The 17,319-nt window shown below is 40.8% G+C and overlaps 1 annotated feature.

Annotated features, from left to right (window-relative positions):
- Window positions 1–17,319: part of a centromere (Linear centromere model derived predominantly from reads generated in PMID: 17803354. This region does not represent an actual centromere sequence, as long-range ordering of repeats and unmapped WGS contigs is not provided by the model. For details of model production, see http://arxiv.org/abs/1307.0035.) that runs on past both edges of the window.

Consider the following 17,319-nt stretch of genomic DNA (forward strand, 5'->3'; position numbering starts at 1 on the left):
AGCATTCTGAGAAACTACTTTGTGATGATTGCATTCAAGTCACAGAGCTGAACATTCCCTTTGACAGAGCAGTTTGGAAACTCTCTTTGTGTAGAATCTGCAAGTGGAGATATGGAATGCTTTGAGGACTATGGTAGTAAAGGAAATAGCTTCATAGAAAAGCTAGACAGTAGCATTCTCAGAAACTTCTTTGTGATGCTTGCATTCAACTCACAGAGTTGAACTTTCCTTTCGAGAGAGAAGCTTTGAAACACTCTTTTTCCAGAATCTGCAAGTGGACATTTGGAGGGCTTTGAGGCCTGTGGTGGAAAAGGAATTATCTTCCCTAAAAGCTAGATAGAAGCATTGTCAGAAACTTCTTTGTGATGATTGCATTCAACTCACAGAGTTGAAGGTTCCTTTTCAAACAGCAGTTTCCAATCACTCTTTCTGTGGAATCTGCAAGTGGATATTTGGACCTCTTTGAAGATTTCGTTGGAAACGGGAGAATCTTCACAGAAAAGCTAAACAGAAGCATTCTCAGAAACTTCTCTGTGATGTTTGTGTTCAACTCCCAGAGTTTCACATTGCTTCTCATAGAGTAGTTCTGAAACATGCTTTTCATACTGTCTGCAAGTGGACATTTGGAGCGCTTTCAGGCCTGTGGTGGAAATCGAATTATGGTCACATAAAAACTGGAGAGAAGCCTTCTGCGAAACTTCTCTGAGATGATTGCATTCAACTCACAGAGTTGAACCCTCCTATGGATAGAGCAGTGTTGAAACTCTCTTTTTGTGGAATCTGCAAGTGGATATGTGGACCCCTCCGAAGATGTCTTTGGAAACGGGAATATCTTCACATAAAAACTAAACAGAAGCATTCTCAGAAACTTCTTGGTGATGTTTGCATTCAAATCCCAGAGTTGAACCTTCCTTTGAGAGTTCAGGTTTGAAACACTCTTTTTGTAGGATCTGCAAGTGGATATTTGGACCACTCTGTGGCCTTCGTTCGAAACGGGTACATCTTCGCATAAAATCTAGACAGAAGCATTCTCAGAAAATACTTTGTGATGATTGAGTTTAACTCACAGAGCTGAACATTCCTTTGGATGGAGCAGGTTTGAGACACACTTTTTGTAGAATCTACAAGTGGATATTTGGACCTCTCTGAAGATTTCGTTGGAAACGGGATAACTGCACCTAACTAAACGGAAGCATTCTCAGAAATTGCTTTTTGATGATTGCATTCACCTCACAGAGTTGACCATTCCTATTGATAGAGCAGTTTGGAAACACCCTTGTTGTGGAATGTGCAAGTGGAGATTTGGAGCGCTTTGAGGCCTATGGTAGTAAAGGGAATAGCTTCATAGAAAAACTAGACAGATGCATTTTCAGGAACTTTTTGGTGACGTTTGTATTCAACTCCCAGAGTTGAACTTTCCTTTGGAAAGAGCAGCTATGAAACACTGTTTTTCTAGAATCTGCAAGTGGACGTTTGGAGGGCTTTGTGGTTTGTGGTGGAAAAGGAAATATCTTCACCTAAATACTAGATAGAAAGCATTCTCAGAAGCTTCTCTGAGATGACTGCATTCAACTCACGGAGTTGAACACTCCTTTTGAGAGCGCAGTTTTGAAACTCTCCTTCTGTGGCATCTGCAAGGGGACATGTAGACCTCTTTGAAGATTTCGTTGGAAACGGAATCATCTTCACATAAAATCTATACAGAGCAGTCTCAGAATCTTCTTTGTGAAGTTTGCATTCAAATCCCAGAGTTGAATTTTCCTTTCAAAGTTCAGGTTTGAAACCCTCTTTTTGCAGGATCTACAAGTGGATATTTGGACCACTCTGTGTCCTTCGTTCGAAACGGGTATATCTTCACATGACATCTAGACAGAAACTTTCTCAGAAAATTCTTTGTGATGATTGAGTTGAACTCACAGAGCTGAACATTCCTTGCGATGGAGCAGTTTAGAAACACACTTTCTGCAGAATCTGCAAGTGCATATTTGGACCTCTCTGAGGAATTCGTTGGAAACGGGATAATTTCAGCTGACTAAACAGAAGCATTCTCAGAACCTTCTTCGTGATGTCTGCGTTCAACTCACAGTGTGGAACCTTTCTTTGGTAGTTCAGGTTTGAAACACTCTTTTTGTAGAAACTGCAAGGGGATCCTTGCACTTCTTTGAGGCCTACCGTAGTAAAGGAGATAACTTCCTATAAAAAGAAGACAGAAGCATTCTCGGAACCCTCTTCGTGATGTTTGCATTCAACTCACAGTGCTGAACCTTTCTTTGATAGTTCAGATTTGAAACACTCTTCTTGTAGAAACTGCAAGTGGATATTTGGTCCTCTCTGAGGATTTCGTTGGAAACGGGATAAACCGCACAGAACTAAACAGAAGAATTCTCAGAGCCCTCTTCGTGATGTTTGCATTCAACTCACAGTGCTGAACCTTTCTTTGATAGTGCAGCTTTGAAACACTCTTTTTGTAGAAACTGCAAGTGGATGTTTGGTCCTCTCTGAGGATTTCGTTGGAAACGGGATAAACCGCACAGAACTAAAACAGAGCATTGTCAGAAACTTCTTTGTGATGATTGCATTCAACTCACAGAGTTGAAGGTTCCTTTTCAAACAGCAGTTTCCAATCACTCTTTCTGTGGAATCTGCAAGTGGATATTTGGGCCTCTCTGAGGATTTCGTTGGAAACGGGATAAAACGCACAGAACTAAAACAGAAGCATTCTCAGAAACTTCTCTGTGATGTTTGTGTTCAACTCCCAAAGTTTCACATTGCTTTTCATAGAGTAGTTCTGAAACATGCTTTTCGTAGTGTCTACAAGTGGACATTTGGAGCGCTTCCAGTCCTGTGGTGGAAAACGAATTATGGTCACATAAAAACTGGAGAGAAGCTTTCTCAGAAACTTCTCTGTGATGATTGCATTCAACTCACAGAGTTGAACCCTCCTATGGATAGAGCAGTGTTGAAACTCTCTTTTTGTGGAATCTGCAAGTGGATATGTGGACCTCTCCGAAGATGTCTTTGGAAACGGGAATATCTTCACATAATAAGTAAACAGAAGCATTCTCAGAAACTTCTTGGTGATGTTTGCATTCAAATCCCAGAGTTGAACCTTCCTTTGACAGTTCAGGTTTGAAACACTCTTTTTGTAGGATCTGCAAGTGGATATTTGGACCACTCTGTGGCCTTCGTTCGAAACGGGTACATTTTCGCATAAAATCTAGACAGAAGCATTCTCAGAAAATACTTTGTGATGATTGAGTTTAACTCACAGAGCTGAACATTCCTTTGGATGGAGCAGGTTTGAGACACACTTTTTGTAGAATCTACAAGTGGATATTTGGACCTCTCGGAGGATTTCGTTGGAAACGGCATAACTGCACCTAACTAAACGGAAGCATTCTCAGAAACTGCTTTGTGATGATTGCATTCACCTCACAGAGTTGAACATTCCTATTGATAGAGCAGTTTGGAAACACTCTTGTTGTGGAATGTGCAAGTGGAGATTTGGAGCGCTTGAGGCCTATGGTAGTAAAGGGAATAGCTTCATAGAAAAACTAGACAGAAGCATTCTCAGGAACCCCTTGGTGCTGATTGTATTCAACTTCCAGAGTTGAACTTTCCTTCGGAAAGAGCAGCTATGAAACACTCTTTTTCTAGAATCTGCAAGTGGATATTTGGAGGGCTTTGAGGTTTGTGGTGGAAAAGGAAATATCTTCACATAAACACTAGATGGGAGCATTCTCAGAAGCTTCTCTGTGATGACTGCATTCAACTCACGGAGTTGAACACTCCTTTTGAGAGCACAGTTTTGAAACTCTCTTTCTGTGGCATCTGCAAGGGGACATGTAGACCTCTTTGAAGATTTCGTTGGAAACGGAATCATCTTCACATAAGAACTATACAGAAGCAGTCTCAGAATCTTCTTTGTGATGTTTGCATTCAAATCCCAGAGTTGAAATTTCCTTTCAAAGTTCACGTTTGAAACACTCTTTTTGCAGGATCTACAAGTGGATATTTGGACCACTCTGTGTCCTTCGTTCGAAACGGGTACATCTTCACATGACATCTAGACAGAAGCTTTCTCAGAAAATTCTTTGGGATGATTGAGTTGAACTCACAGAGCTGAACATTCCTTGCGATGTAGAAGTTTAGAAACACACTTTCTGCAGAATCTGCAAGTGCATATTTGGACCTCTCTGAGGAATTCGTTGGAAACGGGATAATTTCAGCTGACTAAACAGAAGCATTCTCAGAACCTTCTTCGTGATGTCTGAATTCAACTCACAGTGTGGAACCTTTCTTTGATAGTTCAGGTTTGAAACACTCTTTTTGTAGAAACTGCAAGGGGATAATTGCACTTCTTTGAGGCCTACCGTAGTAAAGGAAATAACTTCCTATAGAAAGAAGACAGAAGCATTCTCAGAACCCTCTTCGTGATGTTTGCATTCAACTCACAGTGCTGAACCTTTCTTTGATAGTTCAGCTTTGAAACACTCTTTTTGTAGAAACTGCAAGTGGATATTTGGTGCTCTCTGAGGATTTCGTTGGAAACGGGATAAACCGCACAGAACTAAACAGAAGCATTCTCAGAAACTTCTTTGTGATGCTTGCATTCAACTCACAGAGTTGAACTTTCCTTTCGAGAGAGAAGCTTTGAAACACTCGTTTTCCAGAATCTGCAAGTGGACATTTGGAGGGCTTTGAGGCCTGTGGTGGAAAAGGAATTATCTTCCCGTTAAAGCTAGATAGAAGCATTGTCAGAAACTTCTTTGTGATGATTGCATTCAACACACAGAGTTGAAGGTTCCTTTTCAAAGAGCAGTTTCCAATCACTCTTTCTGTGGAATCTGCAAGTGGATATTTGGACCTCTTTGAAGATTTCGTTGGAAACGGGAGAATCTTCACAGAAAAGCTAAACAGAAAGCATTCTCAGAAACTTCTCTGTGATGTTTGTGTTCAACTCCCAGAGTGTCACATTGCTTCTCATAGAGTAGTTCTGAAACATGCTTTTCGTAGTGTCTGCAAGGGGACATTTGGAGCGCTTTCAGGCCTGTGGTGGAAAACGAATTATGGTCACATAAAAACTGGAGAGAAGCCTTCTCAGAAACTTCTCTGTGATGATTGCATTCAACTCACAGAGTTGAACCCTCCTATGGATAGAGCAGTGTTGAAACTCTCTTTTTGTGGAATCTGCAAGCGGATATGTGGACCTCTCCGAAGATGTCTTTGGAAACGGGAATATCTTCACATAAAAACTAAACAGAAGCATTCTCAGAAACTTCTTGGTGATGTTTGCATTCAAATCCCAGAGTTGAACCTTCCTTTGATAGTTCAGGTTTGAAACACTCTTTTTGTAGGATCTGCAAGTGGCTATTTGGACCACTGCTGTGGCCTTCGTTCGAAACGGGTATATGCTTCGCATAAAATCTAGACAGAAGCATCCTCAGAAAATACTTTGTGATGATTGAGTTTAACTCACAGAGCTGAACATTCCTTTGGATGGAGCAGGTTTGAGACACACTTTTTGTAGAATCTACAAGTGGATATTTGGACCTCTCTGAGGATTTCGTTGGAAACGGGATAACTGCACCTAACTAAACGGAAGCCTTCTCAGAAACTGCTTTGTGATGATTGCATTCACCTCACAGAGTTGAACATTCCTATTGATAGAGCAGTTTGGAAACACTCTTCATCTGGAATGTGCAAGTGGAGATTTGGAGCGCTTTGAGGCCTATGGTAGTAAAGGGAATAGCTTCATAGAAAAACTAGACAGATGCATTCTCAGGTAACTTTTTGGTGATGTTTGTATTCAACTCCCAGAGTTGAACTTTCCTTTGGAAAGAGCAGCTATGAAACACTCTTTTTCTAGAATCTGCAAGTGGACGTTTGGAGGGCTTTGTGGTTTGTGGTGGAAAAGGAAATATCTTCACCTAAATACTAGATAGAAGCATTCTCAGAAGCTTCTCTGTGATGACTGCATTCAACTCACGGAGTTGAACACTCCTTTTGAGAGCGCAGTTTTGAAACTCTCTTTCTGTGGCATCTGCAAGGGGACATGTAGACCTCTTTGAAGATTTCGTTGGAAACGGAATCATCTAACACATAAAAACTATACAGAAGCAGTCTCAGAATCTTCTTTGTGATGTTTGCATTCAAATCCCCGAGTTGAACTTTCCTTTCAAAGTTCACGTTTGAAACACTCTTTTTGCAGGATCTACAAGTGGATATTTGGACCACTCTGTGTCCTTCGTTCGAAACGGGTATATCTTCACATGACATCTAGACAGAAGCTTTCTCAGAAAATTCTTTGGGATGATTGAGTTGAACTCACAGAGCTGAGCATTCCTTGCGATGTAGCAGTTTAGAAACACACTTTCTGCAGAATCTGCAAGTGCATATTTGGACCTCTGTGAGGAATTCGTTGGAAACGGGATAATTTCAGCTGACTAAACAGAAGCATTCTCAGAACCTTCTTCGTGATGTCTGCATTCAACTCACAGTGTGGAACCTTTCTTTGATAGTTCAGGTTTGAAACACTCTTTCTGTAGAAACTGCAAGGGGATAATTGCACTCTTTGAGGAGTACCGTAGTAAAGGAAATAACTTCCTATAAAAAGAAGACAGAAGCATTCTCAGAACCCTCTTCGTGATGTTTGCATTCAACTCACAGTGGTGAAGCTTTCTTTGATAGTTCAGCTTTGAAACACTCTTCTTGTAGAAACTGCAAGTGGATATTTGGTCCTCTCTGACGATTTCGTTGGAAACGGGATAAAACGCACAGAACTAAACAGAAGCATTCTCAGAACCTTCTTCGTGATGTTTGCATTCAACTCACAGTGTTGAACCTTTGTTTGATAGTTCAGGTTTGAAACGGTCTTTCTGTAGAAACTGCAAGTAGATATTTGGACCTCTCTGAGGATTTCGTTGGAAACGGGATAAACCGCACAGAACTAAAACAGAAGCATTCACAGAAAACTCTTGGTGACGACTGAGTTTAACTCACAGAGCTTAACATTCCTTTGGATGGAGCAGTTTCGAAACACACTATTTGTAGAATCTGCAAGTGGATATTTGGGCCTCTCTGAGGATTTCGTTGGAAACGGGATAAAACGCACAGAACTAAAACAGAAGCATTCTCAGAAACTACTTTGTGATGATTGCATTCAAGTCACTGAGCTGAACATTCCCTTTGACAGAGCAGTTTGGAAACTCTCTTTGTGTAGAATCTGCAAGTGGAGATATGGAATGCTTTGAGGACTATGGTAGTAAAGGAAATAGCTTCATATAAAAGCTAGACAGTAGCATTCTCAGAAACTCCTTTGTGATGTTTGCATTCAACTCACAGAGTTGAACATTCCTTTTGAGAGACAAGCTTTGAAACACTCTTTCTCTAGAATCTGCAAGTGGATATTTGGAGGGCTTTGAGGCCTGTGGTGGAAAAGGAATTATCTTCCCGTAAAAGCTGGATAGAAGCATTGTCAGAAACTTCTTTGTGATGATTGCATTCAACTCACAGAGTTGAAGGTTCCTTTTCAAAGAGCAGTTTCCAATCACTCTTTGTGTGGAATCTGCAAGTGGATATTTGGACCTATTTTGAAGATTTCGTTGGAAACGGGAGAATCTTCACAGGAAAGCTAAACAGAAGCATTCTCAGAAACTTCTCTGTGATGTTTGTGTTCAACTCCCAGCAGTTTCACATTGCTTTTCATAGAGTAGTTCTGAAACATGCTTTTCGTAGTGTCTGCAAGTGGACATTTGGAGCGCTTTCAGGCCTGTGGTGGAAAACGAATTATGGTTACATAAAAACTGGAGAGAAGCCTTCTCAGAAACTTCTCTGGGATGATTGCATTCAACTCACAGAGTTGAACCCTCCTATGGATAGAGCAGTGTTGAAACTCTCTTTTTGTGGAATCTGCAAGCAGATATGTGGACCTTTCCGAAGATGTCTTTGGCAACGGGAATATCTTCACATAAAAACTAAACAGAAGCATTCTCACAAAATTCTTTGTGATGTTTGCATTCAAATCCCAGAGTTGAACCTTCCTTTGATAGTTCAGCTTTGAAACACTCTTTTTGTAGGGTCTGCAGGTGGATATTTGGACCACTCTTTGGCCTTCGTTCGAAAAGGGTACATCTTCAAATAAAATCTAGACAGAAGCATTCTCAGAAAATACTTTGTGATGATTGAGTTTAACACACAGAGCTGAACATTCCTTTGGATGGAGAAGGTTTGAAACACACTTTCTGTAGAATCTGCGAGTGGATATTTGGACCTCTCTGAGGATTTCGTTGGAAACGGGATAACTGCACCTAACTAAACGGAAGCCTTCTCAGAAACTACTTTGTGATGATTGCATTCACCTCACGGATTGGAGCATTCCTATTGACAGAGCAGTTTGGAAACACTCTTCTTGTAGAATCGGCTAGTGGAGATTTGGAGCGCTTTGAGGCCTATGGTAGTAAAGGGAAGAGCTTCACATAAAATCTAGACAGATGCATTCTCAGGAACTTTTTGGTGATGTTTGTATTCAACTCCCAGAGTTGAACTTTCCTTTGGAAAGAGCAGCTATGAAACACTGTTTTTCTAGAATCTGCAAGTGGACGTTTGGAGGGCTTTGTGGTTTGTGGTGGAAAAGGAAATATCTTCACCTAAATACTAGATAGAAGCATCCTCAGAAGCTTCTCTGTGATGACTGCATTCAACTCACGGAGTTGAACACTCCTTTTGAGAGCGCAGTTTTGAAACTCTCTTTCTGTGGCATCTGCAAGGGGACATGTAGACCTCTTTGAAGATTTCGTTGGAAACGGAATCATCTTCACATAAAAACTACACAGAAGCAGTCTCAGCATCTTCTTTGTGATGTTTGCATTCAAATCCCAGGAGTTGAACTTTCCTTTCAAAGTTCACGTTTGAAACACTCTTTTTGCAGGATCTACAAGTGGATATTTGGACCACTCTGTGTCCTTCGTTCGAAACGGGTATATCTTCACATGACATCTAGACAGAAGCTTTCTCAGAAAATTCTTTGGGATGATTGAGTTGAACTCACAGAGCTGAGCATTCCTTGCGATGTAGCAGTTTAGAAACACACTTTCTGCAGAATCTGCAAGTGCATATTTGGACCTCTGTGAGGAATTCGTTGGAAACGGGATAATTTCAGCTGACTAAACAGAAGCATTCTCAGAACCTTCTTCGTGATGTCTGCATTCAACTCACAGTGTGGAACCTTTCTTTGATAGTTCAGGTTTGAAACACTCTTTTTGTAGAAACTGCAAGGGGATAATTGCACTCTTTGAGGAGTACCGTAGTAAAGGAAATAACTTCCTATAAAAAGAAGACAGAAGCATTCTCAGAACCCTCTTCGTGATGTTTGCATTCAACTCACAAGTGCTGAACCTTTCTTTGATAGTTCAGCTTTGAAACACTCTTTTTGTAGAAACTGCAAGTGGATATTTGGTCCTCTCTGAGCATTTCGTTGGAAACGGGATAAACTGCACAGAACTAAACAGAAGCATCCTCAGAACCTTCTTCGTGATGTTTGCATTCAACTCACAGTGCTGAACCTTTCTTTGATAGTTCAGCTTTGAAACACTCTTTTTGTAGAAACTGCAAGTGGATATTTGGACCTCTCTGAGGATTTCGTTGGAAACGGGATAAACCACACAGAACTAAAACAGAAGCATTCACAGAAAACTCTTGGTGACGACTGCGTTTAACTCACAGAGCTGAAAATCCCTTTGGATGGAGCAGTTTCGAAAAACACTATTTGTAGAATGTGCAAGTGGATATTGGGGACTCTCTGAGGATTTCGTTGGAAACGGGATAAACCACACAGAACTAAACAGAAGTATTCTCAGAAACTACTTTGGGATGATTGCATTCAAGTCACAGAGTTGAACATTCCCTTTGATAGAGCAGTTTGGAAACACTCTTTTTGTAGAATCTGCAAGTGGAGATTTGGATCGCTTTGAGACCTATGGTAGTAAAGGAAATAACTTCATCTAAAAACTAGACAGTAGCATTCTCAGAAACTTCTTTGTGATGTTTGCATTCAATTCACAGAGTTGAACTTTCCTTTTGAGAGAGAAGCTTTGAAACACTCTTTTTCTAGAATCTGCAAGTGGACATTTGGAGGGCTTTGAGGCCTGTGGTGGAAAAGGGAATATCTTCCTGTAAAAACTAGATAGAAGCATTGTCAGAAACTTCTTTGTGATGATTGCATTCAACTCACAGAGTTGAAGGTTCCTTTTCAAAGAGCAGTTTCCAATCACTCTTTCTGTGGAATCTGCAACTGGATATTTGGACCTCTTTGAAGATTTCGTTGGAAACGGGAGAATCTTCACAGAAAAGCTAAACAGAAGCATTCTCAGAAACTTCTCTGTGATGTTTGTGTTCAACTCCCCGAGTTTCACGTTGCTTTTCATAGAGTAGTTCTGAAACATGCTTTTCGTAGTGTCTGCAAGTGGACATTTGGAGCGCTTTCAGGCCTGTGGTGGAAAACGAATTATGGTCACATAAAAACTGGAGAGAAGCCTTCTCAGAAACTTCTCTGTGATGATTGCATTCAACTCACAGAGTTGAACCCTCCTATGGATAGAGCAGTGTTGAAACTCTCTTTTTGTGGAATCTGCAAGTGGATATGTGGACCTACTCCGAAGATGTCTTTGGAAACGGGAATATCTTCACATAAAAACTAAACAGAAGCATTCTCAGAAACTTCTTGGTGATGTTTGCATTCAAATCCCAGAGTTGAACCTTCCTTTGAGAGTTCAGGTTTGAAACACTCTTTTTGTAGGATCTGCAAGTGGATATTTGGACCACTCTGTGGCCTTCGTTCGAAACGGGTACATCTTCGCATAAAATCTAGACAGAAGCATTCTCAGAAAATACTTTGTGATGATTGAGTTTAACTCACAGAGCTGAACATTCCTTTGGATGGAGCAGGTTTGAGACACACTTTTTGTAGAATCTACAAGTGGATATTTGGACCTCTCTGAGGATTCCGTTGGAAACGGGATAAACTGCACAGAACTAAACAGAAGCATTCTCAGAAACTGCTTTGTGATGATTGCATTCACCTCACAGAGTTGAACATTCCTATTGATAGAGCAGTTTGGAAACACTCTTGTTGTGGAATGTGCAAGTGGAGATTTGGAGCGCTTTGAGGCCTATGGTAGTAAAGGGAATAGCTTTATAGAAAAACTAGACAGATGCATTCTCAGGAACTTTTTGGTGATGTTTGTATTCAACTCCTAGAGTTGAACTTTCCTTTGGAAAGAGCAGCTATGAAACACTCTTTTTCTAGAATCTGCAAGTGGACGTTTGGAGGGCTTTGTGGTTTGTGGTGGAAAAGGAAATATCTTCACCTAAATACTAGATAGAAGCATTCTCAGAAGCTTCTCTGTGATGACTGCATTCAACTCACGGAGTTGAGCACTCCTTTTGAGAGCGCAGTTTTGAAACTCTCTTTCTGTGGCATCTGCAAGGGGACATGTGGACCTCTTTGAAGATTTCGTTGGAAACGGAATCATCTTCACATAAAAACAATACAGAAGCAGTCTCAGAATCTTCTTTGTGATGTTTGCATTCAAATCCCAGAGTTGAACTTTCCTTTCAAAGTTCACGTTTGAAATACTCTTTTTGCAGGATCTACAAGTGGATATTTGGACCACTCTGTGTCCTTCGTTCGAAACGGCATATCTTCACATGACATCTAGACAGAAGCTTTCTCAGAAAATTCTTTGGGATGATTGAGTTGAACTCACAGAGCTGAACATTCCTTGCGATGTAGCAGTTTAGAAACACACTTTCTGCAGAATCTGCAAGTGCATATTGAGAACGCTCTGAGGAATTCGTTGGAAACGGGATAATTTCAGCTGACTAAACAGAAGCATTCTCAGAACCTTCTTCGTGATGTCTGCATTCAACTCACAGTGTGGAACCTTTCTTTGATAGTTCAGGTTTGAAACACTCTTTTTGTAGAAACTGCAAGGGGATAATTGCACTTCTTTCAGGCCTACCGTAGTAAAGGAAATAACTTCCTATAGAAAGAAGACAGAAGAATTCTCAGAGCCCTCTTCGTGATGTTTGCATTCAACTCACAGTGCTGAACCTTTCTTTGATAGTGCAGCTTTGAAACACTCTTTTTGTAGAAACTGCAAGTGGATGTTTGGTCCTCTCTGAGGATTTCGTTGGAAACGGGATAAACCGCACAGAACTAAAACAGAAGCATTCACAGAAAACTCTTGGTGACGACTGAGTTTAACTCACAGAGCTGAACATTCCTTTGGATGGAGCAGTTTCGAAACACACTATTTGTAGAATCTGCAAGTGGATATTTGGGCCTCTCTGAGGATTTCGTTGGAAACGGGATAAAACGCACAGAACTAAAACAGAAGCATTCTCAGAAACTACTTTGTGATTATTGCATTCAAGTCACAGAGTTGAACATTCCCTTTGACAGAGCAGTTTGGAAACTCTCTTTGTGTAGAATCTGCAAGTGGAGATATGGACCGCTTTGAGGCCTATGGTAGTAAAGGAAATAGCTTCATATAAAAGCTAGACAGTAGCATTCTCAGAAACTTCTTTGTGATGCTTGCATTCAACTCACAGAGTTGAACTTTCCTTTCGAGAGAGAAGCTTTGAAACACTCTTTTTCCAGAATGTGCAAGTGGACATTTGGGGAGCTTTGAGGCCTGTGGAGGAAAAGGAATTATCTTCCCGTAAAAGCTAGATAGAAGCATTGTCAGAAACTTCTTTGTGATGATTGCATTCAACTCACAGAGTTGAAGGTTCCTTTTCAAACAGCAGTTTCCAATCACTCTTTCTGTGGAATCTGCAAGTGGATATTTCGACCTCTTTGAAGATTTCGTTGGAAACGGGAGAATCTTCACAGAAAAGCTCAACAGAAGCATTCTCAGAAACTTCTCTGTGATGTTTGTGTTCAACTCCCAGAGTTTCACGTTGCTTTTCATGGAGTAGTTCTGAAACATGCTTTTCGTAGTGTCTGCAAGTGGACATTTGGAGCGCTTTCAGGCCTGTGGTGGAAAACGAATTATGGTCACATAAAAACTGGAGAGAAGCCTTCTCAGAAACTTCTCTGTGATGATTGCATTCAACTCACAGAGTTGAACCCTCCTCTGGATAGAGCAGTGTTGAAACTCTCTTTTTGTGGAATCTGCAAGCGGATATGTGGACCTCTCCGAAGATGTCTTTGGAAACGGGAATATCTTCACATAAAAACTAAACAGAAGCATTCTCAGAAACTTCTTGGTGATGTTTGCATTCAAATCCCAGAGTTGAACCATCCTTTGAGAGTTCAGGTTTGAAACACTCTTTTTGTAGGATCTGCAAGTGGATATTTGGACCACTCTGTGGCCTTCGTTCGAAACGGGTACATCTTCGCATAAAATCTAGACAGAAGCATTCTCAGAAAATACTTTGTGATGATTGAGTTGAACTCACAGAGCTGAACATTCCTTTGGATGGAGCAGGTTTGAGACACACTTCTTGTAGAATCTACAAGTGGATATTTGGACCTCTCTGAGGGTTTCGTTGGAAACGGGATAACTGCACCTAACTAAACGGAAGCATTCTCAGAAACTGCTTTGTGATGATTGCATTCACCTCACAGAGTTGAACATTCCTATTGATAGAGCAGTTTGGAAACACTCTTGTTGTGGAATGTGCAAGTGGAGATTTGGAGCGCTTTGAGGACTATGGTAGTAAAGGGAATAGCTTCATAGAAAAACTAGACAGATGCATTCTCAGGAACTTTTTGGTAATGTTTGTATTCAACTCCCAGAGTTGAACTTTCCTTTGGAAAGAGCAGCTATGAAACACTCTTTTTCTAGAATCTGCAAGTGGACGTTTGGAGGGCTTTGTGGTTTGTGGTGGAAAAGGAAATATCTTCACCTAAATCCTAGAGAGAAGCATCCTCAGAAGCTTCTCTGTGATGACTGCATTCAACTCACGGAGTTGAACACTCCTTTTGAGAGCGCAGTTTTGAAACTCTCTTTCTGTGGCATCTGCAAGGGGACATGTAGACCTCTTTGAAGATTTCGTTGGAAACGGAATCATCTTCACATAAAAACTACACAGAAGCAGTCTCAGAATCTTCTTTGTGATGTTTGCATTCAAATCCCCGAGTTGAACTTTCCTTTCAAAGTTCACGTTTGAAACACTCTTTTTGCAGGATCTACAAGTGGATATTTGGACCACTCTGTGTCCTTCGATCGAAACGGGTATATCTTCACATGACATCTAGACAGAAGCTTTCTCAGAAAATTCTTTGGGATGATTGAGTTGAACTCACAGAGCTGAGCATTCCTTGCGATGTAGCAGTTTAGAAACACACTTTCTGCAGAATCTGCAAGTGCATATTTGGACCTCTGTGAGGAATTCGTTGGAAACGGGATAATTTCAGCTGACTAAACAGAAGCATTCTCAGAACCTTCTTCGTGATGTCTGCATTCAACTCACAGTGTGGAACCTTTCTTTGATAGTTCAGGTTTGAAACACTCTTTTTGTAGAAACTGCAAGGGGATAATTGCACTCTTTGAGGAGTACCGTAGTAAAGGAAATAACTTCCTATAAAAAGAAGACAGAAGCATTCTCAGAACCCTCTTCGTGATGTTTGCATTCAACTCACAGTGCTGAACCTTTCTTTGATAGTTCAGCTTTGAAACACTCTTTTTGTAGAAACTGCAAGTGGATATTTGGTCCTCTCTGAGGAATTCGTTGGAAACGGGATAAACTGCACAGAACTAAACAGAAGCATTCTCAGAACCTTCTTCGTGATGTTTGCATTCAACTCACAGTGTTGAACCTTTCTTTGATAGTTCAGGTTTGAAACGGTCTTTCTGCAGAAACTGCAAGTAGATATTTGGACCGCTCTGAGGATTTCGTTGGAAACGGGATAACCCGCACAGAACTAAAACAGAAGCATTCACAGAAAACTCTTGGTGACGACTGAGTTTAACTCACAGAGCTGAACATTCCTTTGGATGGAGCAGTTTCGAAACACACTATTTGTAGAATCTGCAAGTGGATATTTGGGCCTCTCTTAGGATTTCGATTGAAACGGGATAAACCGCACAGAACTAAAACAGAAGCATTCTGAGAAACTACTTTGTGATGATTGCATTCAAGTCACAGAGCTGAACATTCCCTTTCACAGAGCAGTTTGGAAACTCTCTTTGTGTAGAATCTGCAAGTGGAGATATGGAATGCTTTGAGGACTATGGTAGTAAAGGAAATAGCTTCATATAAATGCTAGACAGTAGCATTCTCAGAAACTTCTTTGTGATGCTTGCATTCAACTCACAGAGTTGAACTTTCCCTTCGAGAGAGAAGCTTTGAAACACTCTTTTTCCAGAATCTGCAAGTGGACATTTGGAGGGCTTTGAGGCCTGTGGTGGAAAAGGAATTATCTTCCCATAAAAGCTGGATAGAAGCATTGTCAGAAACTTCTTTGTGATGATTGCATTCAACTCACAGAGTTGAAGGTTCCTTTTCAAAGAGCAGTTTCCAATCACTCTTTGTGTGGAATCTGCAAGTGGATATTTGGACCTATTTTGAAGATTTCGTTGGAAACGGGAGAATCTTCACAGGAAAGCTAAACAGAAGCATTCTCAGAAACTTCTCTGTGATGTTTGTGTTCAACTCCCAGAGTTTCACATTGCTTCTCATAGAGTAGTTCTGAAACATGCTTTTCGTAGTGTCTGCAAGTGGACATTTGGAGCGCTTTCAGGCCTGTGGTGGAAAACGAATTATGGTCACAGAAAAACTGGAGAGAAGCCTTCTCAGAAATTTCTCTGTGATGATTGCATTCAACTCACAGAGTTGAACCCTCCTATGGATAGAGCAGTGTTGAAACTCTCTTTTTGTGGAATCTGCAAGCGGATATGTGGACCTCTCCGAAGATGTCTTTGGAAACGGGAATATCTTCACATAAAAACTAAACGGAAGCATTCTCAGAAACTTCTTGGTGATGTTTGCATTCAAATCCCAGAGTTGAACCTTCCTTTGATAGTTCAGGTTTGAAACACTCTTTTTGTAGGATCTGCAATTGGCTATTTAGACCACTCTGTGGCCTTCGTTCGAAACGGGTATATCTTCGCATAAAATCTAGACAGAAGCATTCTCAGAAAATACTTTGTGATGATTGAGTTGAACTCACAGAGCTGAACATTCCTTTGGATGGAGCAGGTTTGAGACACACTTTTTGTAGAATCTACAAGTGGATATTTGGACCTCTCTGAGGATTTCGTTGGAAACGGGATAACTGCACCTAACTAAACGGAAGCATTCTCAGAAACTGCTTTGTGATGATTGCATTCACCTCACAGAGTTGAACATTCCTATTGATAGAGCAGTTTGGAAACACTCTTGTTGTGGAATGTGCAAGTGGAGATTTGGAGCGCTTTGAGGCCTATGGTAGTAAAGGGAATAGCTTCATAGAAAAACTAGACAGATGCATTCTCAGGAACTTTTTGGTGATGTTTGTATTCAACTCCCAGAGTTGAACTTTCCTTTGGAAAGAGCAGCTATGAAACACTCTTTTTCTAGAATCTGCAAGTGGACGTTTGGAGGGCTTTGTGGTTTGTGGTGGAAAAGGAAATATCTTCACCTAAATACTAGAGAGAAGCATTCTCAGAAGCTTCTCTGTGATGACTGCATTCAACTCACGGAGTTGAACACTCCTTTTGAGAGCGCAGTTTTGAAACTCTCTTTCTGTGGCATCCGCAAGGGGACATGTAGACCTCTTTGAAGATTTCGTTGGAAACGGAATCATCTTCACATAAAAACTATACAGAAGCAGTCTCAGAATCTTCTTTGTGATGTTTGCATTCAAATCCCAGAGTTGAACTTTCCTTTCAAAGTTCACGTTTGAAACACTGTTTTTGCAGGATCTACAAGTGGATATTTGGACCTCTCTGTGTCCTTCGTTCGAAACGGGTATATCTTCACATGACATCTAGACAGAAGCTTTCTCAGAAAATTCTTTGGGATGATTGAGTTGAGCAAACAGAGCTGAACACTCCTTGCGATGTAGCAGTTTAGGAACACACTTTCTGCAGAATCTGCAAGTGCATATGTGGACCTCTCTGAGAAATTCGTTGGAAACGGGATAATTTCAGCTGACTAAACAGAAGCATTCTCAGAACCTTCTTCGTGATGTCTGCATTCAACTCACAGTGTGGAACCTTTCGTTGATAGTTCAGGTTTGAAACACTCTTTTTGTGGAAACTGCAAGGGGATAATTGCACTTCTTTGAGGCCTACCGTAGTAAAGGAAATAACTTCCTATAAAAAGAAG

The sequence above is a fragment of the Homo sapiens genome, chromosome 17, assembly GCF_000001405.40.
Source record: "Homo sapiens chromosome 17, GRCh38.p14 Primary Assembly".
NCBI lineage: Eukaryota > Metazoa > Chordata > Mammalia > Primates > Hominidae > Homo > Homo sapiens.